Source organism: Homo sapiens, chromosome 14, assembly GCF_000001405.40.
Source record: "Homo sapiens chromosome 14, GRCh38.p14 Primary Assembly".
NCBI classification, from domain to species: domain Eukaryota; kingdom Metazoa; phylum Chordata; class Mammalia; order Primates; family Hominidae; genus Homo; species Homo sapiens.
In genome coordinates this window covers 23,327,229-23,346,310 of record NC_000014.9, presented here as the reverse complement: position 1 = coordinate 23,346,310, position 19,082 = coordinate 23,327,229, and the positions used below count along the sequence as shown (strand labels likewise).

Sequence of the window (19,082 nt, the reverse complement as noted above, 5' to 3'; positions counted from 1 at the left end):
GCCTGGACTTCCCTCCCTTCTGTTTGTCCTTCTATCTCTTGGGGGAAGGTTTTTCTCAGTGGAATGCACACCGATAACAAGCTCCCCTCTCCCTCCTTGTGCCCTGCCCCCAGTGGTGACTTACAGACAACTGTCACCACTTACTGACTGCTTGCACTGCTGCCAGAACTGGCCTAAGCACTTGACACACTTCGTATCATTTAATTTTTACAGCATTGCAAGGTAGGTGTTTGGATCAATTAGGGGTTGTTGTTGTTGTTGTTGTTGTTGTTTGTTGTTGTAAGCAATAAAAACTGGCTCTAATGAACTTAAGCAAAAAGGGAATTATTCGATTTGGTGGGGCAGGTTGTGGTGGGAGCTCACAGAATGAAGGAGAAGCAGAACTCGTCGTAAAATAACTAGTCAGGAGCGGAGAAGGCTCCTTGTCTGAGGAGCAAAAACCAGCAACATTTTTGTCAGGGCTTCTTCTAGATGAATGAGCTCCAGTGCAATTTAATCTTTGGGTTATCCCACTGAAGATTAATTTCCAGAGAGCATGTCACTGGCTAGCTAGAGTAACATGCCTCCCACACCCCTATTTCTCCCAACTGGGAATAGGTAAAGCAAAATTTGGGCACTGTTAGCAGAAGCGGGACTGGGTGTCACTCAGAAAAAAACAATGGAAGCTCAGTACAGCATTCTTATTCTCTTAAACAAGATGAGAAAACTTATGGTCAGAGAGACTCAGTAACTGGCCCAAGGTTACAAAGCTAATGAGTGGCAAAGCTGAGACATGATTAGATCCCAGAGAGCTCTTCATGGATGCATACTGTAGTCACCTTCCCAACTCTTCTAACTTTTGGGCACATTCCTTGGAAGGCAAGAGTGGGTTCTCTTGGCTCTCTGGAAGGTGGCAGCAGAAAACTGAGACTTCTACCTCAGTGCCAGGGCCTCCCTCTTAAACCACATCTGGTTTGGCTTTACCACTTTGGGCAAATCTCTTAGCTTCCAACTTCCTTTAAGACTTGCTATGAGGATTAAACAAGGTAATGTATCCTAAGTGTCTCTTAAACTACCCCCACTAGGTGTAAGCTGTGTAAACCAAAAATTATCTGAGACAAGTCTCAATCAATTTAGAAAGTTTATTTTGCCAAGGTTAAGGATGCACCCATGATACAGCCTCAGGAGGTCCTGAGGACACGTGCCCAAAGTGGTCGAAGTACAGCTTGCTTTGTACATTTTAGGGAGATGTAATACATCAATCAGTACGTGCAGGATTTACAATGGTTGGATCTGGAAGAGCCGGGACAACTCAAAGGCAGGGCCAGGGGCTTCCAGGCCGTAGTTAGATTTAAACATATTCTGATTGGCAATTGGTTGAAAGAGTAATTATCAGTAGAAAGGAATGTTTGGGTTAAGATAAGGGGTTTTGGAGACCTAGGTTTTATCATGAAGATGAAGGCTTCAGAGAAAATAGATTGTAAATGTTCCTTATCAGACTTAGGTTTGTGTTGATGTTAACACTGGAGGGATATAATGAGGCATGTCGGACCCCCACTTCCCATCATGACCTGCAGCAGCCTTTCAGGTTAAATTTTAGGGTGCTCTGGCCAAGGGGGGAGTCCATTCAGATGGTTGCAGGGTGGGTGGCGAGGTGTTTGAGTTTTATTTTTAGTTTACATTCTCCCCCTTCTGGCCAAGATTTGCCAGAGACAACATTAATGGCCACCAATTGTAATTTTGTTCCATAGCACTGCCTGGGTGACATGGCTGCCTGCCCCAGGTCCATCTTGTCCCTCAGTGGGACTCCCTATGGCCGAGGGACTTACAGTCAACAAGACTTACAGCCAATTAATTGCTCTAGGCTAGATAGTAACGGACATGGACAGGCATTCATCCCTTAAAATTGTTTTTTCTTTTAAGTAGAAAGTGAACAAACAAAAGCCAAAGGAGAGGTTACAAAATTGACTTATTTTTAAACTTCTATGCATTAAGCTACTATAATCTTGGTTTTAGTTACAGACTTATAGCAATTAACTATATAAAACATAAGCATTGTTCAAAAAAAGATTTAATATATATCTATCAGCACAACTTATAACGGAAGTATTATACCCAGGAGGCTGGGTGAGTCACAAGGTATCTTTATCCTATCAGTAATTATTTTATTTTAATTCTACAGGAAGTAGGAATTTTTTTTTTTTTTTTTTTTGAGATGGAGTCTCACTCTGTTCCCCAGGCGGGAGTGTAGTGGCGCAATCTCGGCTCACTACAACCTCTGCCTCCCGGGTTCAAGCAATTCTCCTGTCTCAGCCTCCTGAGGAGCTGGGATTACAGGTGTACGCCACCATGCCCGGCTAATTTTTTGTATTTTTAGTAGAGACAGGGTTTCACCATGTTGGCCAGACTGGTCTTGAACTCCTGGCCTCTCAGAGTGCTGGGATTACAGGCGTGAGCCACCAGGCCCAGCCAGAAAATTCTTCATGGTTGGGATGGATGCAAAGATGACACATGATAGCTTAGAAGACAAAGTCCTTTATTTTACCATCTGTTTACGTGTCTTTGTACCCATCCTTGATTTGGAGGGCCTGACCTTGAACTGATTCTATCCCTTAAAACCAACCCTTCACCATTTCACGCGTCCACCTCATCCACCACAGTTACTGGGCTTAGAGAGAAGGTGCTCATATAGTCTTAGCAGCAGGGCATTTTCAGTGAATAACAGATCCGGCCCAGTGGGATGCCAAATGAGGTAGAGTCACATCCCTGGTCTTCAGACTACCATGATTTTGGTTTCCTAGGAAATAAAACAAGGACAGATAAATAACATAAATATTTTGACAATCAAAAGAATATTTGTATGTCAGAACAGAAAAAGGGAGCTATTCTATTAGAGTACCGACTAAACATATGAAGAAAAATTATAATGTGATACTCTTCAGAGGATTATTGTAGCCAAGAAATAATTCGTTCTTCGATCTGCACTCAAAAACAAAAGCCAGGGCTGAAATTTGTGTACAAAATAAATTTTAGGCTTATTATACTTTGCCTGATTATTCATATAAAGTGCAGCAAGAATTGTTTGGCCATATAGGCTTCTATTAAGTTGGCTTTGCTGGAACTTTACCTACAAATATGTTATTCTAGTCAAAGCCTTGGCAAAATAACCAGCGTCTCCAATTGCTCTGTTCTAAAAGACTCTTACTAAGCTTATGCAAATGACTGTATTGTCATGAACTCACAATCCAAATTTTGGAGAACTCAGATAGATAGAAAGGCAAATTTGCTTACAAACACATACTTCACCCAGTTGCTTTAAACTGTGAATAACTCAAAAGAAAAGGATTTGTTTGACACTTCTATAGCCAGAACAGGGGCTTTCAAACAGGATGTTTGTTCACCTTGGAACTGCCATTCACAAGCCAAACAGCTAATGAGAGTTGTCTATCAGGCACTGTAGAATCTAGTAGCTCCTCACATAGTTAGAATCAGTCCTAGGGAAAAAAATTTTAAAAAAAGAGGCTTCCTGCTCATAAGGATCTCCTCCTTGTATCCTCAGGTAGCAAGATCTTATGTAAACCATTTTTATTTTGTCATGGTGCTCCTTTGGGCACCATTATTTCCATTGGCATAAGATAGCTTCTGTCAACATTCCACAGCAAGGCAGTAAATGCCCCTCAAGTGGAAATTCTCTAGCCCAGTCACTGTCATTGGGAAGTGCCCACAGTCTTTTGCCATCAGCACGAATAAATGCTCCACAAAGGGCTATAAAGTGGCGCATTTGTTTGACTGGCACTCCAGCTTCTACCCTACACTTTGTGGGCTCAGGCAATCTTACTAGTTCCCATTTGGCGTGTCCAATTAACATTTCTGAAAGAGCAGATTTACATGCCTTCGGTTTTATGGCACTAGATAGGGAAAACACCCCCCAATTAGATACAATCAATACCCATTTTCTTTCTGTTTTTGTTTTTTTTTTAGATGGAGTTCAGTTCGTTGCCCAGGCTGGAGTGCAATGGCACCATCTTGGCTCACTGCAACCTCAACCTCCCAGACAATAACAATTTTCATAAAACATTTAGGTAAAGGAGTTACAATTACCTTACATAAAGCCTATTTATGTAAACATCTCAAATTTCATAATCCCATCAACCTGTACTTTTTTTTTGAGATGGAGTCTTGCTCTGTTGCCAGGCTGGAGTGCAGTGGCACAATCTCGGCTCATGACAACCTCCAACTCCCACGTTCAAGCGATTCTCCTGCCTCAGCCTCTCTACTATCTGGGCCACCAAGCCCAGCTAATTTTTGTATTTTTAGGAGAGACAGAGTTTCACCATGTTGGCCAGGATGGTCTCCATCTCTTGACCTCATAATCCACCTGCCTTGGCCTCCCAAAGTGCTGGGATTACAGGCGTGAGCCACCACATCCGGCCCAATCGGTACATTTTTATGTTCTGGTCACAGGAACTTTTCTTTTCTATCCCCAGACCATTTTACCTTTTCTGGTGAAAAAAGGCTTGGGTCCCCAGGGAGTTGAGCCAAGGGACTCAGGCTCTTTGGCCAATTTTTTTTATCTTAATTTGCCCCAGCATTGCCCTAGGCAATGTCAGCTTTCTCGTGATAACCTTTGCCTTTTGATTTTTTTTTAAATTTTCCAATCTGAGGCAAATAGTGAATAACCATCCAAAATGGGTGATATTTCCGTCACTCCTTCTGGGGAGAGTCCTTCGACTCTGGTTTTCCTTTCTCTTTTTTTTTTTTTAAATTAATTACTTCAATGTGTTATGCCCCACGAGGGACAGCAAATTTGATAAGGCCTCTCAAACAGTTGCATGATTCTGTGGGAGGGGTACCCATGTAAAAATGGGTCCCCTTAACCTCCAGGTTTACCATGACGTGGGTAATAGGCATATTCAGTGGGAGAATATCTTGGTCATCATAAAGCGAGTCCCACATGGCTCACATATGAAGCATATTAAGTGCTTCATCTGGGGTGCTCCACTTGGTATTTTATAGGGCAGTCAGGCAGTCCCCTTTTCAGGGAAAACAGATCTTACCATGGCCAATAGGCTGGTTGTTTTCTCAGGAATAACCTCCTGTACATTTGGATCACATGTAGTTATCAGTGATTGTTTAATAGTGAGATGTGGGTCTTACATCAATCCAAACAAGCTCTTTCCTTCTGTAGCATTTAAAATTAAGGAATTGTCCTAAGAGTAATTATATAATATTTTTACTATCCATTATAGTAAAGGTTTCTCAAGAAGCTGATGACACCAATCTACAAAATGGGACAATTCCTTTACATTATACCCTATGGTTTAATAGTTACTTGGTTTTGCCCTTCCCTCACATTGACTATCTTCTCTGTAACCACAGGTCTCAGAGGTAACTTTTGTTCCCTGGCTTAATTTTTTTGTTTTTATCCATTTAGTTTTATCTCTGTAATTTTTCCTTTATCTTAAAGTGACTCTTAAATGGTTTCTCAACTAGAAAAAAATCACATATTTTTTAGCAAGAACCACATCCTTGTGTTTTATAAACTTCACCAAAAACACCTTTTGTGCTCCTATTTTAACTCTTAGTAACACAAACTCCAAGTGGGAAAAAAAACCTAAGGTTACTTGATTTAACATAACATGACTTTAAGATTTTAAACTATTGCAGAGAATTTTGAGATTAAATTTACCAAATTAATCTTACCAAAGACTGCCAAAGTCATGAATTAAAGGGGATCTGAGCTAGGTTCTATCAGTCTGATAAGTTGTTAGTTTTCTTTAAGTCAAATGATTAGAACTCTTTCATACAGTTTAGTTTAATAGTGAAATATCACTTCCTCATGACACATGTAAACATATAGATACAACAGACATGCAGGCAAAAGCAGACACAAAAGATTTTTCATTCGCCCATTTTCAAAAATTTTCTCCCTTACATTAGACTATTAATTTTTAAAGTTACAACAAAAGTTGAAGGAGAGAGTTACCATCCTAGGCCTTCTCAAAAGACAGAAGATGCTGAAATAGCAGGGTACAGCTTCTGAGATATCAATCTGAATAATTTCAAAAAGAAATAGATTCTAGAATTTAAAAATTAAAAAATTCTTGCATTGTGTATTAGTCCATTTTCACACTGCTATAAAGAATTGCCCAAGTCTGGGTAATTTTAAAGAAAAGAGGTTTAATCAACTCAGAGTTCTGCATGGCTGGAGAGGCCTCAGGAAACTTACAATCATGGTGGAAGGGAAAGCAGGCACGTCTTAAATGGCAGCTAGCAAGAGAGAGAGCATGAAAAGCCCAGGGGAAACTGCCAGTTATAAAAATCATCAGATCTCATGAGAACTCCCTCACTATCACAAGAACAGCATGGGGGAAACCACCCCCATGATCCAATCACCTACCACCAGGTCTCTCTCTCAACACCTAGGAGGGATGTTAAATTAAAATTCAAGATGAAAATGGGACACAAAGCCTAACCATATTACATTAAGTAACTCTATTTTAAATGAAATCTTGTTTTAACCAATTCTTTAGGTTTTTGTGGGTGTATTTTTAATATCAAAGTTCAATTTTTAGAAAAACTATTTACTATAATTTCCTTTAATTAGAGCCAATTAATTGCATTTTTATAAATTCCTTTTTTACTAACCTTATTACAACTTAGACCATTTACAACATGCTTGGACTTTTGGCTTGTCCTAAATATTCCTCTTTCTTGAACAACCCATTCATTTTATTTTAGAACAAAAATTCACCATACAAGACTCTTTCTCATATAAAATTATTTTAAGCTTTCTTACCAAAAATACCTCTTTATTTCTATAACTTTCTTTGCATCTCTCTTATTTCCTGGTTCCTTTTACCTTGTTTTACACATAACATTTAAATAAGCTTTGAATAGATAAAAATTATTCACCTTTTAATAAGAACATATTTTTTAGAAAGAATGTTCTCCTACACTATAATTTTTTTAATTGGAAAATACCTAGACATTTAATGAAATATTTAATTTAACTTTAGATTCTAATTTATGACAAGTTTGTTTACAAGTTTCTATTACATTTACCTAATTATTTTAATAGTTTACCTAGTGATATGGTTAGGCTTGTGTCCCCACCCAAATCTCGTCTTGAATTATAATCCCTATAATCCCCATGTGTCAAGAGAGAGACCAGGTGGAGGTAATTGACTTATGGGAGTGGTTTACCCCATGCTGTTCTCATGATAGTGAGTGAGTTCTCATGAGATCTGATAGTTTTATGTATTTGGTAGTTCCTCCTGCATTCATTCTCCTTCCTGCTGCCTTATGAAGAAGGTGCCTTGCTTCCTCTTTGCCTTCTGCCATGATTGTAAGTTTCCTGAGGCCTCCCCAGCCATGCTAAACTGTAAATCAATGGACCTCTCTCCTTTATAGATTACCTAATCTTGGATAGTTCTTTATAGCAATGTGAAAATAGACCTCCAGAGAGAGAAACTAGATTATTTATGAAAATTGTGATAGTCATTATTTAAAGTTATTTCCCTGTCAACCATTTTTACAGCTTGTGAATTTTAGGTGATTACCTAAGTAAGTACCTTAAGATTAAATATATGATTATTTTACCAATAATTCAAGATTTAGCTGTTTTCATTAAATCAACAATATTAATGTCTTTTTTATTAAAAATGACACAAACAAAAATCATTACATTTTTTGCTGGGTTTATAGTTTTATAACCCTTATGCCAAATTTTGACACCTTATAGTATTCAGCAGAGATAAGTATGAAATCACTTGATCAATAAATGCAAACAAAAATGTATGCTGACAAGTCTTAAGACATTTCAAATATTACTTTACCAACAATCTTAAAGCTAGCTTATTAAAGATTTTACTTAAGTCATGTAAACTTGAAATGCATTTGGGCTTATTATTTAATTTATGGATAATCTATAATTGGTAGCCAATTTGTTACCTTGTGACCCAAAACACAACAGAATCCATGTATGTACACATAAACACACATACACACTCATACAACCAAAGATCCTATAGCTTTTACTTCAGAATGTTAGCCATGAGATATTAATACAAACTCATTGGTTTGCAAAAACAATAACAAAAGAAATGGTTGGATACAAACAGTGGATTTTATCTCAGTAGAAAAGTAACAGCAGACTTAAAGCAGACAGAAAAGAAAGCAAAGAAATAGAGAACTTCGGAAGTTTATAGTTGCAGATTGACCTTCAGGCTCTGAATTCTCTTTGAGGTGATTTGCCCATCAGTTTAAAATGTGCACAAGAGCAGACCCGATGTGTAACCAGCCGGAGTATTAGAAAACCTGGTGTGCCATTCCATTTACACAACCACTTGCAAGTAGAGGGTCATAAAACCAAACAGGGTGCCTGAGAAGGGTCATTCTCCTTGTCTGTCCTCATTCCTAGATAATTCATTTCCCACATTTTTTCTTAAAAGGAGGAACTAAGCTGTGGCCTAGAGTTTGGTGGAGTGGGGAAAAGTGTGCTGGTTGTGGGTGGGACTCCACAGTGTGTCACACACAGTGTGTCTCAGTTTCTTACTCTGGAGGTCTAGCATCTCCGGGAGGGCTGATAGCATGGGGTGACCAGCTCCTATATGTGCTTCCTGGATGAGCCTTTTTAAACTAATTTTGTTTGGAGTTCCCTGTAGGGCCACTGCACATCATGGGGGCTCAACCCCCCAACATTCCCACTTAGCCCCCTGGCACTCAGGGGCACCTTTTGACTGGGAAGAGCAAAATGCTCTTTCTCTTTGGAGCTGTGGAAACTCAGTCTCTCATTTATCTATGAAAAAGACAGTTCACTTCCTCCCACAAATGCACAGAGCAGCCAATCAAGACTAATTTCAAGAGGAAAGGCAATGAAAAAGACACTTTTTTTTTTTTTTGAGACAGAGTGTCACTGTCACCAGGCTGGAGTGCAATGGCACAATCTCGGCTCACTGCAACCTCCGCCTCCTGGGTTCAAGCAATTCTCCTGCCTCAGGCTCCCAAGTAGCTGGGACTACAGGTGCACTCTACCATGCCCAGCTAATTTTTGTATTTTTAGTAGAGACGGGGTTTCACCGTGTTGGCCAGGATGGTCTCGATCTCTTGACCTCGTGATCCACCCACCTCGGCCTCCCAAAGTGTTGGGATTACAGGCATGAGTCACCGCACCCAGCCGGACAAGACACTATTTAAAATGTACCTCCAAACTAGAATTAGGGTCCTAAATATCTTCCCAGGAGGAAAAAAAAAAATCTAAGACCACTCTCTGTAAACTGTTCTTAGCCACCCCTAACTTTGTAGCACTTGTCCGCCATTACACACACCAAGGTAAAATCCTCACACAGCGCAAAGTAATCTTTGGTATCCCCCAAAGCCAAAGAGATCAGGTAATGCAATACAGGAGAGCAGAACTTTAGACCGAAGAAGAATCTGCCTATAACTCTTGAAACTTCAAAAAGAAAACAGAACACTCCAAAAGGGATGAGTGGCACCTTTGTTTTGAGTTATTTGAGGAATTCAAGTCATTAGAAGCCTTCTCTAGATTTTTTCTTGGTACTGAAGATGGCAAAGGGGAAGGAGGAATAGGATGGATGAAAATTAAGACAGCGAACACAGAAACTAAGCCCATGGTTTCTTTTTTTCTTTTTACAGCTGTGAGAAATTTTAACTTATTCAGAGGCCTTGTTCCCCATAATTTGGAATTCTCATTAGGATTTGACCAAGACAGGTAGAGTTAGTCAAATCCAATGGGAGAAAGGGACAACAACAAAAAAAACCAACAATATGATCACTTAGCGCTCTAATGGTAAGGAGAAATTAAGACCAGCTGGTTGTCAACTTTAACCTTTAGTCATTATGGAGAATTTTCAAGACAAAAAAAAAGCAAGCAAGCAAGCAAGAAAACCAAATCAGCTTCTTACCTAAAAATGGGTCTCAGGTTGAAGACTACTCTCTACCCTCCTAGAAGCAGGAAGAAACTCAAACTTGCCTTCCCTGTTAGATATTAGCTAAAACTCCAAAAAGGAGTTACCTGTTACCTGCCTTCCAACATCATGGGAGCAGGAAAACTTGCCTTCCTTGTTGGAAGCAAGTATAACTCCAGAAAAGGAATCGTAGAGCAAAATAAACTTTAGATCTCAACCAAATTTTGAGAGATCAGGGGTTCTCTGGAGAAAGGGGAGTTCCCAAGCCTCAGCAAATTGTCCTGTTGATTTGAGCCATAAACATAGCTCAAGCTGGTGCCGAGCACCGATAGGAGATTTGTCAAAGGTCAGGGCTACATCCACTCAGAGTCCCTTCATGGGCACCAATTTGTAAACCAAAAATTATCTGAGACAAGTCTCAATCAATTCAGAAAGCTTATTTTGCCAGGGTTAAGGATGCACCCATGATACAGCCTCAGGAGGTCCTGAGGACACGTGCCCAAAGTGGTCGAAGTACAGCTTGCTTTATACATTTTAAGGAGACATAATACATCAATCAGTACGCATAAGACTTAGAATGGTTAGATCTGGAAGGGTGTGATAACTCAAAGGCGGGGCCGGGGGCTTCCAGGCCATAGTTAGATTTAAACATATTCATTCTGATTGGCAATTGGTTGAAAGAGTAATTATCAGTAGAAAGGAATGTTTGGAGTAAGATAAGGGGTTTTGGAGACCTAGGTTTTATCATGAAGATGAAGGCTTCAGAGAGAATAGATTGTAAATGTTTCTTTCTTTTTTTTTTTTTTTTTTTTTTTTTTTTTTTTTGAGACGGAGTCTCGCTCTATTGGCAGGCTGGAGTGCAGTGGTGCAATCTCGGCTCACCGCAACCTCCGCCTCCCGGATTCAAGCAATTCTCCTGCCTCAGGCTCCCGAGTAGCTGGGACTACAGGTGCGCGCCACCATGCCCAGCTGATTTTTGTATTTTTAGTAGAGACGGGGTTTCACCATGTTGGCCGGGATGGTCTCGATCTCTTGACCTCGTGATCCTCCCGCCTTGGCATCCCAAAGTGCTGGGATTACAGGCGTGAGCCACCACGCCCGGCCTGTAAATGTTTCTTATCAGACTTAAGGTTTGTATTGATGTTAGTGCCAGAGGGGTATAATGAGGCATGTCAGACCCCCACTTCCCATAATAGCCTGAAACAGTCTTTCAGGTTAAATTTTAGAGTGCCCTAGCCAAGGAAGAAGTCCATTCAGATGTACATGGGAGGCCTTCAAATTTTATTTTTGGTTTGCAGCTCCCTGAGGACAGGAACTTTGTCTTATTCAACTTAGAAACACCAATGTGTGACATATGGTAGATATTCCAAAAGTTGAGTAATATTTGTTTATTCTTTCAGCAAATGTTTGTAAAGCCTAGAGGTATGACATGATATGGTGTGCTTGGAAAACAGGAAACAGGATGTTTATTTCAAACATCCATGGATAAAGGACATCTATGAAAAACCCACAGCTAACATCACATTCAGCAAAAGGCTGAAAGCTTTTCCCTTAAGATCAATAAGATAGGGATGCCTGCTCTTGCCACTTTTATTCAACATTGTACTGGAGGTTCTAGCCCAGGTAATAAAGAAAGAAAATGAAATAAAACCACACAGAATGGAAAGGAAGAAATAAGACCCTTTATATTTGCAGATGACATGATCTTATTTAGAGAGAATGCCAAGGAATCCATAAAAAACTATTAAAAATAAATATGTTCAGCAAGGTTACCGAACTTGCAAGATACAAATCAGTATAGCTGGGCAAATTGGCTGATGCCTGTAATCGCAGCACTTTGGGAAACCAAGGTGGGAGGATCACTTGAGACCAGGAGTTTGAGCCCAACCTGGGCAAGATGGCAAGACCGCATCTCTACAAAAAAAAATTTTTTAATTAGCCAGGTGTGGGTATGTACACTTGTAGTCCCAGCTACTCAGGAGACTGAGGTAGCAGGATCACCTGAGCCCAGGAGTTAAAAGCTGCGGTGAGCTATGAATGTGCCACCACACTCCAGCCTCAGTGACAGAAAGACTCTGTCTCTAAAAACAAATTAAGAAAAAATAATCATATAAAACTTCAATTGTACTTCCACACAATAGCAATTTTAGAAATCTGAGAATGAAATTAAGAAAACAATTCCATTTACAATAGAAAAAAATCCCAAAATACTTAGGAATAAATTTAATGAAAGAAGTGCAAGACTTGTACACTGAAAACTATGGGACACCAATGAAAGAAATTAAGGACCTGAATACATGAAGAGACATTCACAGATTCGAAGACTTAATATTGTTCAGATGAGCCAGGTGTGATGGATCACGCCTGTAATCCCAGCACTTTGGGATGCCAAGGCAGGCCACTTGAGGTCAGGAGTTCAAGACCGGCCTGACCAACATGGTGAAACCCCTTCTCTACTGAAAATACAAAAATTAGCCAGGCGTGGTGGCGGATGCCTGTAATCCCAGCTACTCTGGAGGCTGAGGCAGGAGAATCGCTTGAACCCAGGAGGTAGAGGTTGCAGTGAGTCAAGATTGCACCACTGCACTCCAGCCTGGGTGACAAGAGCGAGACTCCATCTCAAAAAAATTAAATAAATAAATATAATATATACATATATATTATTAAGATGGCAATACTCCCTAAATTGATCTACAGATTCAGTGTATTCACTATTAAAGTCCCAGCTGTCTTTTTTCAGAAACTGATAAGCTGATTCTAAAATTGACATGGAAATGCAAAAGACCCAGACTAGCTGAATAATCTTGAAAAAGAGCAAAATTGGCGGACTCACACTCCTAAAATTTCAAAATTTATTACAAAGCTACAGTAATATAGACAGTGTGGTACTGCCATAAGGACAAACACGAAAATCAATGGAACAGAATTGAGAGTCCAGAGACTGGTCAATTGATTTACAAAACAGGGACCAAGACAATTTAATGGGAAAAGAAGTCTTTTTAACAAATGATACTGGGACAACTGGATATCCACATGCAAAAGAAGAGAACTGGACCCCTGTCTTATACCATAAACAAAAATAAATTCAAGGGCGGGATGTCTGTAATCCAGCACTTCAGGAGGCTGAAGCGGGCAGATCACTTGCGGTCAGGAGTTCGAGACCAGCCTGGCCAACATGGTAAAACCCTGTCCCTACTAAAAATACAAAAATTAGCTGGGCGTGGTGGCAGGCACCTGTAATCCCAGCTACTCAGGAGGCTGAGGCATGAGAATTGCTTGAATCCAGTGGGCAGAGGTTGCAGTGAGCCGAGATAGCACCACTGCACTCCAGCCTGGGTGACAGAGTGAGACTCTGTCTCAATAAATAAATAAATATTTTTAAAAAAAACTCAAAATGGATCAAAGACCTAAACATAAGAGCTAAAACTATAACACTCTCAGTAGAAAATATAGACACATCTTCATGACTTTTGTGCTTCAAAAGATGCTGTCAAGAAAGCAAAGAACTGGGCCGGGCGCGGTGGCTCACGCCTGTAATCCCAGCACTTTGGGAGGCCGAGGCGGGCAGATCACGAGGTCAGGAGATCGAAACCATCCTGGCTAACACGGTGAAACCCCGTCTCTACTAAAAATACAAAAAATTAGCCAGGCAAGGTGGCGGGCGCCTGTAGTCCCAGCTACTCGGGAGGCTGAGGCAGGAGAATGGCGTGAACCCTGGGGGGCAGAGCTTGCAGGGAGCCGAGATCGCGCCACTGCACTTCAGCCTGGGCAACAGCGAGACTCCATCTCAAAAAAAAAAAAAGCAAGCAAAGAACCCACAAAATGGAAGAAAATATTTGCAAATCATATATCTGATAAGTCTAGTCTTCAGTATTCAGTATTCAGCAAAGGAAGGCTGGGCATGCTGATGCATACCTGTAGTCCCAGCTGTTGGGGAGGCTGAGGCAGAGGGTTTGCCTAATGCCAGGAGTTCAAGTCTGAAGTGCACTATGGCATGCACTGGAGTACCATGCCTGTGTACGCTAGCCTGAGCAACATAGCAACACCTCATCTCTAAAAATAAAAAAAAAAAAATTTTTTAAATTAAAAAGAAGTCTTGCAAGAAAACAATCTACTTTAAAAATGAGGACCAGGCTTGGTGGCTCATCCCCGTAACCCCAGCACTTTGGGAGGCTGAGGCGGGCAGATTGCTTGAGACAGGAGTTCAAGAGCAGCCTGGGCAACATGGCGAAACCCCATTTCTAGAAAAATTAAAAACTAGGCGGGCGTGGTGGCACGCACCTGTAGTCCCAGCTACTCAAGAGGCTGAGGTAGGAAGATCACCTAAGCCTGGGGAGGTTGAGGCTGTGAATAGCCGTGATTGGGCCACCGCACTCCACCCTGAGGGACAGAGTGAGACCCAGTCTCAAAAAAGAAAAAAGGCAAAGAATCTGAATATATATATATACACACACACACATACATACAAATGGCAAATAAGCACATGAAAAGATGCTAAACATCTTTGAGTCATCAGACAAATGCAAATTAAAACTACGATGAGATACCTCTTCATACCCTCTAGGATGGCTATAGCCAAAGAGATTGACAATAACAAGTTTGGTGCGGATGTAAAGAGACCAGAAGCCTCATACATTGCTGGTGAAAATGTAAAATGATGCAGCTGCTTTGGAAAACAGTCTGGCAGTTCCTCAAAAGGTTAAAGATAGTTACCATGGGTCTTAGTCCATTCATCTGGGCTGCTGTAACAAAATAAGGTAGACTGGGTGGCTTACAAGCAACAGAAGTTTATTTGTTGCAGTTCTGGGGACTGGGAAGCCCAATATCAAGGTTCTGGCAGATTTAATATCTGGTGAGATCCCATTTCCTGGTTCATAGATGGTACCTTCTCACTGTATCCTCACGTGATGTAAAAGGGCAAGGTAGCTCTTGGGGCTTCTCCTATGAACTAATGACCTCCCATAAGTCCCGAACTGCTAATATCATCACTTTGGGGGTTAGGATTTCAGCATATGGATTGTGGTGGAGGTGCAAACACTCAAACCATAGCACAGTATGACCCAGCAACTCCATTCTTAAGTATATACCCAAGAGAAATGAAAACATATGTTCATACAAAAACTTATACAGTTGTTTGGAGCCAGACTATTTGTAATAGCCAAAAAAATAGAAACAACCCAAATGTCCATCAGTTGATGATGGAAACAAAATGTGTTATATCCAATGAAATACTAGTCAGCCATAAAAAGGAATACTGGGCCAGGCATGGTGGCTTATGCCTGTAATCCAAGCACTTTGTGAGGCTGAGGTGGGAGGATCACTTGAGCCCAGGAGTTTGAGGCCAGCTTGGGCAACATAGCAAGATCTCATCTTTACAAAAAATAAAATATAATAAAATTCTGGCCCTGCGCGATGGCTCATGCCTGTAATCCCAGCACTTTGGGAGGCTGAGGCGGGCGGATCATGAGGTCAGGAGTTCAAGACCAGCCTGGCCAATATGGTGAAACGCCATCTCTACTAAAAAATAAAAAAATTAGACGAGCTTGGTGGTGCACGGCTGTAGTCCCAGCTACTTGGGGGGCTGAGGCAGGAGAATTGCTGGAACCCGGGAGACTGAGGTTGCAGTGAGCCAAGATCGCTCCATTGCTCTCCAGCCTGGGTGACAGAGCAAGACTCCATCTCAAAAAAATAAATAAATAATAAAAAAACAAAAAATTAGCCAGGCATGGTGGTATGTGCCTGTGGTCTCAGATACTTGGGAGGCTAAGGTGGAAGGATGGCTCAAGCCCAGGAGTTTGAGGTTTCAGTGAGATATGAATTTGTTGCTCATTCTGAGCAACAGAGCAAGACCTTGTCTCCATTAAAAAATAATAATAAGGCCGGGTGCAGTGGCTCATGCCTGTAATCCCAGCACTTTGGGAGGCCGAGGCAGGCAGATCATGAGGTCGGGAGTTCAAGACCAGCCATGGTGAAACCCCGTCTGTACTAAAAATACAAAAATTAGCCTGGCGTGGTGGCACACACCTGTAATTCCAGCTACTCGGGAGGCTGAGGCAGGAAAATCGCTTGAACCCAGGAGGCAGAGGTTGCAGTGAGCCGAGATCGTGCCACTGCACTCCAGCCTAGGCGACAGAGCAAGATTCCATCTCAAAAAATAATAATAATAATAAAATGTGATCATAATTTGAGAAAGGCTGCTCATTCTAACCATACATAAAAACAAGGAAAGCAGCAATATTATTGTAAAAACCCACCAACTGTTTCTTTTCTCCATTGCCAACGTCGGATTGGGCAAATCCTACCTTAAAAAGCACTGGCTTGCCTCGGTTTATTTTGCATCATCCAAAGGCCCTCTAAGGATCTCTGACTCACAGACCCTCACCCCAGACAGGTTTTATACACAGGCTCTCCCAGTCTCTTTCTTCCCATGGAACTCCAGTGAGATTGGGCTCATTTCTATCCCTCAGTTAACAGAGAGCCGATCAGGAGTGACTGACAGAAATCATCCACCAAAAATAACCAAGCTTGCCCGAGGAAAGTAACTTTCTTTCCATGCTTCTTCCTCTAAACCTAGTCTCTTTTAAGTAAAATAGTCTGACTCTTATAAGAATAAAACTAAAGGCCGGGCATGGTGGCTCACGCTTGTAATCCCAGCACTTTGGGAGGCCGAGGTGGGTTAACCACGAGATCAGGAGATCGAGACCAGCCTGACCAACATGTTGAAACCCCGTCTCTACTAAAAATACAAAAAATTAGCCAGGCATGTGGCGCATGCCTGTAATCCTAGCTACTCAGGAGGCTGAGGCAGGAGAATTGCTTGAACCTGGGAGGTGGAGGTTGCAGTGAGCTGAGATGGCACCACTGCACTCCAGCTTGGGCGACAGAGTGAAACTCCGTCTCAGGAAAAAAAAAAAAAAAGAGGAAGAAAACTACCAGCTCCAGGTAAAAGGCAACACTATTGTTGTTACCGCCTTCTCCAGGACAGGAAAGGCAAGCCCAGGGTGAATAAGCAACTTTTGGGCACCTACTAAATGGCAGGCCCTGTGAGGCAGACACAAAGTCACAATTGATGCCCTCAAGAAGCTTGCATTCGGCCGGGCGCGGTGGCTCACGCCTGTAATCCCAGCACTTTGGGAGGCCGAGGCGGGTGGATCATGAGGTCAGGAGATCGAGACCATCCTGGCTAACAAGGTGAAACCCCGTCTCTACTAAAAATACAAAAAATTAGCCGGGCGCGGTGGCGGGCGCCTGTAGTCCCAGCTACTCGGGAGGCTGAGGCAGGAGAATGGCGTGAACCCGGGAAGCGGAGCTTGCAGTGAGCCGAGATCCCGCCACTGCAGTCCGCAGGCCAGCCTGGGCGACAGAGCGAGACTCCGTCTCAAAAAAAAAAAAAAAAAAAAAAAAAAAAAAAAGAAGAAGCTTGCATTCTAGTGGGAAAACAGAAATGTAGTTAGTTTCATTATAAAACCACAAAGTAAATATTAAACAGGGATAGGAACAGTTTGTCCTGACTGCAGGAGTGATTACTTCTGACTTGGAAATCAGGAAAGGCTTCATGTCTGTTGTACCTGGCTTACACTTGGAAGGATATGCGTGATTTTCATAGAAGAGTTGGAATGAGCATAGCAGGCTAGAGGGAACAGCATGAGGGATACATGAAAATAAATAACAACTACAATGCATAGTACATCAGGTGTAGGGCAGGATCTGGAAGAGAAATGTAATCAGGATCAGATTGAAAAAGGTTGTAGTTCCATGCTTGTGTTTGGACTTTGTACTTATTGGTGGCATCATAGAGGGCTTTTTTTGGCAATAAGAAGTTTGGAGGCTGAGCATGGTAGCTTACGCCTATAAACCTAGCACTTTGGGAGGCCGAGGCAGGAGGATTGCTTGAGGCCAAGAGTTCAAGATCAACTTGGCCAACATAGCGAGACCCTATCTTTTAAAGTACTTTTTTTAGGAATTTTTATTTTTCAAAAAAAAATTTGAAGCCAATACATCTGCCAGGACCCCTGCAATGATGATGGGGAGTTACTCAAGCAGTGAAAGTAGGAATAGAGAGAACAGACAAGATATGGTAGAATTGACTGAATATGGAAAACTAAACCAGAGAAGGGTCAAAACATGATTCACCCTCCAATACCCAACAATTTATGGGGATCTTTTAGAGCCAGCCATTTAGTGCCCCCTGGTGGACAGATGAGACCATCACAGCATTAACAGCAACAAGTCACTTAGGCTGTTTCATTCTTCCAGTAAAAAGTTTATATTGAACACTATCCAGACCCTCACTAATCAGCCTCTGCAGAAGCCACAGAGATCACGGCACTATTTTAGGTGAATCTAGTTAGGAGAAAAGATAGACCTCAAATGCCTAACCCATAACAGAAAGTAGAATAAATGACCAAATCCTAAAATATGTGGTGGATAACACTGACATGAGATTTTAGAAAATACTGCAATTTGAGAGGTGGGTTAAGGCTTCAGATATAACAGAGTTTTTTGTTTTGTTTGTTTTGAGACAGAGTCTCGCTCTGTCACCCAGGCTGGAAGTGCAGTGGCTGAGTCTCAGCTCACCTCAATCTCCACCTCCTATGTTCAAACGATTCTCCTGCCTTAGCCTCCAGAGTAGCTGGGACTACAGGTGCATGCCACCACACCTGGCTAATTTTTGTATTTTTAGTAGAGACGGGATTTCACCATGTTGGCCAGGCTGGTCTCAAACTCCTGACCTCAAGTGATCCGCCCACCTCTGCCTCCCAAAGTGCTGAGACTGCAGGTGTGAGCCACTGCGCCCGGCCACAGAGCCATTTCTTTAACATATGATTTTTGAAGAGCATCCAGGTCAGAGGCAATTGTGAACAAAACATCCTGAGAAGTAAATGAAAAAATAGTAAGGTTGAAATACTAAGAAATTCTATAGGTAATGAAGTCTGAAGGTTCAACCTGGCTAGTGATGTAGTGTTCAAGTTTTAAGACCAATCTGACACTGGAATAAAAAATGGAGAAATTAGGATGCCCAAGACAAAATTTAGATATGAAAACAGTGAAAGCCAGTTGTGAAGTCCTAATAAACTAATCCTGGCCAGGAGCTGTGGCTCACGCCTATAGGAAGGCCAAGCCAGGAGGACTGCTTGAGCTCAGGAGTTTGGGACAGCCTGGGCAACACAGCAA

The 19,082-nt window shown here is 41.6% G+C and overlaps 1 annotated feature.

The window, feature by feature from the left end:
* Positions 18,029-18,118: a silencer, noted in NCBI's record as "silent region_5608". NCBI's record gives its function as "represses an Ori minimal core promoter by ATAC-STARR-seq in GM12878 lymphoblastoid cells {active_cell/tissue: GM12878}" and the evidence as "EXISTENCE:reporter gene assay evidence [ECO:0000049][PMID:35858748]".